The sequence below is a fragment of the Homo sapiens genome, chromosome 19, assembly GCF_000001405.40.
Source record: "Homo sapiens chromosome 19, GRCh38.p14 Primary Assembly".
Lineage (NCBI taxonomy): Eukaryota > Metazoa > Chordata > Mammalia > Primates > Hominidae > Homo > Homo sapiens.
Window position 1 is genome coordinate 43410836 of NC_000019.10, and position 8199 is coordinate 43419034.

Here is an 8199-nt window from a genome sequence, read left to right on the forward strand (position 1 = left end):
ACACATAGCCAATTATACTATAAAGTACAAAAAAAAAATTTTTTTTTGAGACAGGGTCTTGCTCTGTCACCAGAGCAAAAGCTGGAGTACAGTGGCGTTATCTCGGCTCACTGCAACTGCAACCTCCACCTCCTGGGCTCCAGCGATCCTCCCACCTCAGCCTCCCAAAGTGTTGGGATTACAGGCATGAGCCATGGCACCCAGCCTAGAATCTTACTTGAGGTAAAATGAGAATCCACTGGAAGGTTTTGGTTTTTTTGAAACAGAGTCTTGCTCTGTCACCCAGGCTGCAGTGCAGTAGCACAATCTTGACTCACTGCAGCCTCCACCTCCCAGGTTCAAATGATTCTCTCGCTGCAGCATCCAGAGTAGCTGGGATTACAGGGGCGCACCACCACGCCCAGCTAATTTTTTCATTTTTAGTGGAGACAGGGTTTCACCATGTTGGCCAGGCTGGTCTCGAACTCCTGATCTCAGGTGATCCACCACCTCGGCCTCCCAAAGTGCTGGGATTACAGGCCTGAGCCACCGTGCCTGGCCCATTAGAAAGTTTTAAACAGGAGTAATGTGGTGTGGCTTGCAATTAAGAGATCGCTCTGGTGCCAGGTGGGAAATAGCCACATGGGCAAGGGCAGGGCGTACTGCAATAATCCAGTGACCAATGGTGGTGTCACAAGTGCTTATATAAAAAGATGCCTTCACTGTATATTAGCCATTGAGCTTTTTTCTTTTTTACAAACGTTCCATGGATTCATAAACTATTTGCCAACCATTGCTCTAGACTAACCTCCTCATTTTCTTTTTTTTCTTTTTTTTCTTTTTTTTTGAGACCAAGACCAAGTTTTGCTCTTGTTGCCCAGGCTGGAGTGCAATGGTGCAGTCTCAGCTCACTGCAACCTCCGCCTCCCAGGTTCAAGTGATTCTCCTGCCTCAGCCTCCCAAGTAGCTGGGATTACAGGCGCGTGCCACCAGGCCTGGCTAATTTTTGTATTTTTAGCAGAGACAGGGTTTCACCGTGTTGGTGAAGGTCAGGCTGGTCTCAAACTCCTGACCTCAGGTGAACCACCCACCTTGGCCTCCCAAAGTGCTGGGATTATGGGCTTGAGCCACTGCACCCAGCCTAACCTCTTCATTTTCTAGATGAGGACACTGAAGCTTGGAGAGGAACAGAAATTGGCTCAGGCTAAGGAAGATCTGTCAATCTCTCTTGCACCAAAAAGGCAAAGCCACCTTTCTCAAGGGGCTGTGTATTGGGGTGTTCTTGCACTGCTATAAAGAAATACCTGAGACTAGAAGTAATTTATAAGAAAAGAGGTTTGATTGGCTCAAGGTTCTGCAGCTGTACAGGAAGCGTGGTGCCAGCATCTCCTTCTGGGGAGGCCTCAGAGAGCTTTTACTTATGGCAAAAGGATGCAGGCCAGAGAAGGGGAGCGAGAGAGAGTAAGAAGGGGAGGTGCCACACACTTAAACAACCAGATCTGGCAAGGACTCACTCATCATTGCAAGGACAGCACCAAGTCATGAAGGATCTGCCCCCATAACCCAAACACCTTCCACCAGGTCGCATCTCCAACACTGGGAATTACATTTCAACATGAGATTTGGGCGGGGGACAAATATCCAAACTATGTCACGGAGCAAGAGGAGGTCCCTGGAGCTGTTGAAGCAGAAATGGGGTGAAGAATAGAGGTGGAGGGTGCTTAGGCTTCCAAGGTCTCTTCTAGGTGTGAGATGGAGGGATTCTGCGACCAAGTCACCTGGAGAGTGACTCAACAAGGTGACTGCTTTCCCAAGCACGAGCCCTCGGGGGACAGACGGGGGCTGAAAACTGGCACACATTCTTCCTGGATCCTTTGACATGTGATCATTCAAAGATAACAGTTCAAAGATAACAAAGGGATTGAAGCTTTACCAATCCCTTTCTTATTGTGGCATTTTCTCTATTAAAAATAAATACTCATTTATACTATAACTTACAGAATCAGTACCAATTCTGAAAGTATACAAAGCGTTGCCTTACTTTAAGGAAGGAGACCACTACTACTCCTGCTGCCCTCCTCCCCCGACCTTGCCTAGTTCACAAGACAGGAGGAAAGAGAGAAAGCAAAAAGTTGGAAAGAAACAGAAGTAAGATAAATAGCCAGTCAACCTTGGCACCACCACCCAGCCCTAGGAGTTAAAAAAAGTAATAATAATAACAGCAACCCCTGACCTAAACTACTTGTGTTATCTGTAAGTTCCAGACATTATATGAAAAAGCATTGCAAAACTTTCTGTTCTGTTACCTGATGCATGTAGCCCCCAGTCACGTTTCCCACGCTTGCTCGATTTATCACGACCCTTTCATGTGGACCCCTCGAAGTTGTAAGCCTTTAAAAAGGCCAAGAATTGGCCAGGCGTGGTGGCTCATGCCTGTAATCCCAGCACTTTGGGGGGCGGGCGGATCACGAGGTCAGGAGATCGAGACCATCCTGGCTAACACAGTGAAACCCCATCTCTACTAAAAATACAAAAAAATTAGCCGGGTGTGGTGGTGGGTGACTGTAGTCCCAGCTACTCGGGAGGCGGAGGCAGGAGAATGGCATGAAGTCGGGAGGCAGAGCTTGCAGTGAGCCGAGATTGCACCACTGCACTCCAGCCTGGGCAACAGAGGGAGACTCCAAAAAAAAAAAAAAAGGCCAAGAATTTATTTTTCAGGGAGCTCGGCTCTTAAGACGCAAGTCTGCTGAGGCTCCCGGCCAAATAAACCTCTTCCTTCTTTAATCCAGTATCTGAGGAGTTTTGTCTGCAGCTCATCCTGCTACAACTTCATGTCACACCTGGAAAGCTTACATAGGCCAGGGGTGGTGGCTCACGTCTGTAATCCCAGTACTCTGGGAGGCCGAGGTGGGCAGATCACCTGAGGTTAGGAGTTCAAGACCAGCCTGGTCAACACGGCGAAACCCCGTCTCTACTAAAAATACAAAAATTAGCCAGGTGTGGTGGCAGGTGCCTGTAATCCTAGCTGCTCAGGGGAGACTGAGGCATGAGAATCGCTTGAACCTGGGAGAGGGAGGTTGCAGTGAGCTGAGATCACGTCACTGCACTCCAGCCTGGGGGATAGAGAGAGGCTCTGTCTCCAAAAAAAAAATACAAAAAATTAGCCAGGCATGGTAGCTTATGCCTGTAATCCCAGCTACCTGGGAGGCTGTGGTAGGAGAATCACTTGAACCCAGGAGGAGGAGGTTGCAGGGAGCCAAGATTGTGCCATTGCACTCCAGCCTGGGCAAAAAGAGCAAAAGTCTGTCAAAAAGGGAAGGGAAGGGGAGGGGAAGGGAGGGGAGGGGAGGGAAGGGAAGGTTACATAGATGTGAAAGTGAACTGCCAGCCATGAGCAACAAATCCGAGTGACATGTCTTCTTCATGGTCCTGACACGGACGCGTGGGTTCGATCTGACAGCAGCCTGTGCCATCATAGCTACTGCTCATGCATGCATTCGGGGTGCCCAAAGTGATGCTGAGGGGGGCATTCCTAGATTCAACCCTCCAGGAGACCATGAGGAGGCTGGTGCGATAGCGCAATCAGATGAAGACGCCTGGGCTGCACAGGGGCCACTGCAAGTGAAGACTCAAGAGGCCAAGCTGACTCCCAGAGGCTAGGGCCACTAAGGTGGGTGCCGAGGCAGGGGCCAGGCTGGGAACATGAGAGGCCATTTGGGTAGGGAGATAAGTTCCGTGAGTGAGGGCCAAGGGTCTGACCTCCTAGTGTGGCTGGAGAAGCAGAGACAACAGAGTGCAAAAAGAGAAATGGGCCAGGCGAGGCCATCTGGCAACGCACTGCCCACCCTCCATTGCGTGCCTCTGGCTGCAAAAACAGGCAGGATCTTCCGGCCGGTTTGCCCGCCACTCACCTTCCGAGCATGCGCACCCTCCGAGATTGCCAGGAATTGACTTCTCTGTGGCCAATGAGGTGCCGCGTTCCTCCAGGCTCATCCAATGAACTTATCCGATGCTTTTGCATCCACCAATGGGGTTTCGAGTGCTGTGTGGCCAGGCTGGCCCGGCCTTGCGTCGTAAGAGAATGCCAAGCCCGGGGAGAAGGCGTTCCGGGCCTCAACTTTGGCGTCGTGAGATTCTTGTGAGGCGTCTGCCTGGAAGCCGGCAGCAATTTTGCTTCTTTAAAGAGAAAAAGAAGGCTAGGGACTCAGATTCCTGGATTCTGAGGAAAGAGAAGGCTGGGGACCCAGATCCTGGCTCTGAGGGGAACGAGGGTTGGGGGCCTGGGCTCCCGGGCCTGAGAGGGAGGGGACCAGAATGGTGTGTCCCGCAGGAAAAGGTGGTTGGAACCCAGACTCCTCGATCCCTACATAGGACGGGGCTGGGCTCTCAGAATCCCGGGTTCTGATGAGGCTGGGGCTGGGGCTGGGGGCCGAGATTCTGGGTCCCTGAGAGAATGTAAGGGACCCCTGAGACTGAGGGAGAAGCGGCCTTCAGGGCCACACTCCTGATCCTGAAGTTGGAGGGCACTGGGTGGCCGGGCCTGAGAATTAAAACCATGAAAAACTGGGGCGTGATAAACCTGTGAACTCGCTCCAGCTCACAAGCCGGTTAGGGACAGAACGACTTTAGAAGTCGTGGTCATATACACCATAAACCCCACTGTGAGGCCGGGCATCAGGGCTCACTCCTGGAATCCCAGCACTATGGGGGGACGAGGCGGGCAGATCACCTGAGATCAGGAGTTCGAGACCAGCCTGACCAACATGGTGAAACGTCATCTCTACTAAAAATACAAAAAATTCACTGGGTGTGGTGGCGGGCACCTGTAATCCCGGCTACTCGGGAGGCTGAGGCAGGAGAATTGCTTGAACCTGATAGGCAGAGGCAGTGAGCCGAGATTGCGCCACTGCACTCCAGCCTGGGCGACAGTGCAAGACTCCGTCTCAAAAAAAAAAAAAATGCAGATTAAAACACCCCACCCTGAAGTCAGTACTTGCCAGGACCTAGATTTGATCTCATGCACTCTGGCTGAAAAGTTAATTGCCTTCTCTCCATCAAATTCACAGATCCAGACCAGCTCCTCCCAGACCTCTCCAGAAGAAGCCATGGGAACCCCTCGTATCCAGCATTTGCTGATCCTCCTGGTCCTAGGAGCCTCCCTCCTGACCTGTGCGTATGGGGGACATAGGGGAGAGCCGTGTGTCACAGAAGGTGGACTGATGATGAAAAGGGAGCCGCCTTGGCCCATGGAGAAGTGCTTATCCTTTTCTTGTTTTCTCCTCAGCGGGCCTAGAGCTGTATTGTCAAAAGGGTCTGTCCATGACTGTGGAAGCAGATCCAGCCAATATGTTTAACTGGACCACAGAGGAAGTGGAGACTTGTGACAAAGGGGCACTTTGCCAGGAAACCATACTAATAATTAAAGCAGGTGAAATGAGATGGGGCATTTGGGCTGGGTAGGAGGGAGGTTGATTATCTCCATGCCAATGCTTGTTCCCTTCGTCCAGGCCAATTGTGACGGCCACCATCCATTTCCCCTCCTTCCTGTCTCATAACAGGGACTGAGACAGCCATTTTGGCCACGAAGGGCTGCATCCCGGAAGGGGAGGAGGCCATAACAATTGTCCAGCACTCTTCACCTCCCGGCCTGATCGTGACCTCCTACAGTAACTACTGTGAGGATTCCTTCTGTAATGACAAAGACAGCCTGTCTCAGTTTTGGGAGTTCAGTGAGACCACAGGTACCCTGGAAGTGGGGGAGATAGGTACTAAGAGAAACTCCATAAAGAGCTTGTGTATGGCCTCCCTTTGCATTCTGACTTGGCTTAGCCTAAGTGGTCCATACCCCAAAGTACCTCACAGTTCAAGTAATTTTATGTTTCTGAATTGTTCATTGGGATCTAAACACTGCTCAGAGCAGCGAGATACCAGTGAAGCCTGGAGTGTAAACTGGGTTTTGTGTTTATTAAGCAATAAGACAGGCTGGGTGAGGTGGATCGCCTGAGGTCAGGGGTTTGGGACCAGCTTGGCCAACATGGTGAAAACCTGTCTCTACTAAAAATACAAAAATTAGCTTAGCCTGGTGGCGCACACCTGTAATCCCAGATACTCGGGAAGCTGAGGCAGGAGAATTGCTTGAACCCAGGAGGCAGAGGTTGCAGTGAGCCAATATCACACCACTGCACTTCAGCCTGGGACAGAGAGCAAGACTCCATCAAAAAAAAAAAAAAAAAAAGCAATAAGACATCAGTGTAGGTTTCCGAACAGGGTGGTATTATCAGTCTAACAAGTATTGGTTTCCCACTGCTGCACGAGAACGGCCCAGTTCCCCAATTTACAAGGCCTGTAGTAACTTGGCCCTTCCTGTCTTTTCAGCTTCATTTCCCTCTCTTCCCTCTCTCATTTACTGTGTGCTAACTGGGGCTAATACTCAAAATGCTTAACAATGTAGATGGCACTGGCCAATCAAAATGGATTCTGGCCATAAAAAACAAAAACAAAAACAAAAAAAACAGATCAAAGAAACAGCTGGGCCTACAAGCTGAATATGAGTCGTGCAACTTCTCACAATTCCCTGAATCCACCAAGCTGGCTCACACCACCTGACCTTTGTCCTTGCTGTTTCCTTTACTACCCTCCCCACCCCATTTTCACATAGCTAACCCCTGTTCATCCTCCATGTCAATTCAGGTATCAGCTCTTTGAAAATATTTGCCAAATTCTTTTAGGTAGTTGGGTATTCCTCCATTCCTTTGTCATTATACCTTGAACACAGCAGCTACTGAATTGATTACTTACATGTCTTTCTCCTAGGCAGAGATGCCAGGTGACAGGAACTATGTCCTTTTCATCTCTGTATCTTCACACCTCAGCAGAGTTTGGAAGTCAGATCGATGGAGATTTCACAGCAGAGAACACCAGCTGGGGAAGGATGGGGAGGCTGAAGTAATGGGCCTTGATTAGAGTGGCATCTGCAGGAAAATCTTGGGGAAGAGAAGGCAGCAAGGAGCAACATCTCTGGAGGCAGGACCTGCCCTTAACTGTCTCTCTCATTTCCCTCCAGCTTCCACTGTGTCAACAACCCTCCATTGTCCAACCTGTGTGGCTTTGGGGACCTGTTTCAGTGCTCCTTCTCTTCCCTGTCCCAATGGTACAACTCGATGCTATCAAGGAAAACTTGAGATCACTGGAGGTAAACTGAAATGAACATCTGATAGTTTCAGAGGCTGGAAAACCATTTGAGTGGCTCCCCAGAGATTCTGACACTGAGCTCTCCAGGGATGAGGGGGGACTGGATTCTCCTCTGATGTCCTAAAACATCTCTGTCTCTCCCGATCCTTCCTTGTTCTATAGGTGGCATTGAGTCGTCTGTGGAGGTCAAAGGCTGTACAGCCATGATTGGCTGCAGGCTGATGTCTGGAATCTTAGCAGTAGGACCCATGTTTGTGAGGGAAGCGTGCCCACATCAGCTGCTCACTCAACCTCGAAAGACTGAAAATGGGGCCACCTGTCTTCCCATTCCTGTTTGGGGGTTACAGCTACTGCTGCCATTGCTGCTGCCATCATTTATTCACTTTTCCTAAGAAGGCACTTCTGGGCCTGGGTCTGAGGACATCTTTTTTGACTGGGAGCCTTCTTACTGTTGAGGTTCAACAAGCTGAGGAGTAGATGGGAATTTGAGGGAGAATACAGAGATACTATGAACGTATTTGACATTTTTAATACAATTTCTGCTATAATTTTTGTATGCAGTAGGCGTTACTAATAAACATTTCTGCTGTGATTTGTGTATGTTTCAACACTAGAAGTGGAATTTTAGTGCTGAAAGAGCCTTTAAAATTCATCTTCTCCAAACCACACATTCTCCAGAAAGAGAATCTGAGATCTGGAAAATTTCAGTGAGTTTCTTACATTTAGCTATGGCCAGAGCCAAGGCAAGAACTTACATATTTTGACGTAAAGTCTGATTTTCCTTTCACTCTAATATGCTAGCTCTCCTTGCTAGCAGAAGTAACTAGCATTAGCCTCCTCCAGAACACTCCCAGCCCAATCTTAAGGCTGCTGTTTTGGGGTTCTAAAATTTCCCTAGGAAGTATGGCCAAATGAGAAAAATCAGACTCCAAATTCTCCAGTTATGGGCCTGCTGTAGTGGCTTATACCTGTAATCCCAGCACTTTGAGAGGCAGAGGTGGGAGGATTGCATGAGCCAAGGAGTTTGAG

General features: G+C 49.5%; 1 protein-coding gene across 3 annotated transcripts in view, besides 1 other annotated feature; it reads left to right on the forward strand.

The window, feature by feature from the left end:
• The window catches only part of TEX101 (testis expressed 101), a 29987-nt gene extending 22225 nt beyond the window's left edge, over window positions 1-7762 (forward strand). The window contains exons 1-6 of one of the 3 annotated variants that reach the window (NM_001130011.3): window positions 4055-4203; window positions 5046-5148; window positions 5264-5407; window positions 5538-5720; window positions 7043-7171; window positions 7333-7762. In NM_001130011.3, coding sequence (NP_001123483.1) covers window positions 5085-5148; window positions 5264-5407; window positions 5538-5720; window positions 7043-7171; window positions 7333-7562 — 750 coding nt within the window. In that variant the 5' untranslated portion in view covers window positions 4055-4203; window positions 5046-5084 and the 3' untranslated portion in view covers window positions 7563-7762. Of the gene's footprint in view, window positions 1-4054; window positions 4204-5045; window positions 5149-5263; window positions 5408-5537; window positions 5721-7042; window positions 7172-7332 lie in introns of those variants that run through there. The other 2 variants (XM_005259303.4, NM_031451.5) reach the window with 2 other exon arrangements.
• Window positions 2256-2442: a silencer, noted in NCBI's record as "fragment chr19:43917243-43917429 (GRCh37/hg19 assembly coordinates)". NCBI's record gives its function as "represses an EF-1alpha promoter that drives an FKBP-Casp9 reporter gene in an ReSE screen in HepG2 liver carcinoma cells {active_cell/tissue: HepG2}" and the evidence as "EXISTENCE:reporter gene assay evidence [ECO:0000049][PMID:32094911]".
• Window positions 7763-8199: the final 437 nt, after the last annotated feature.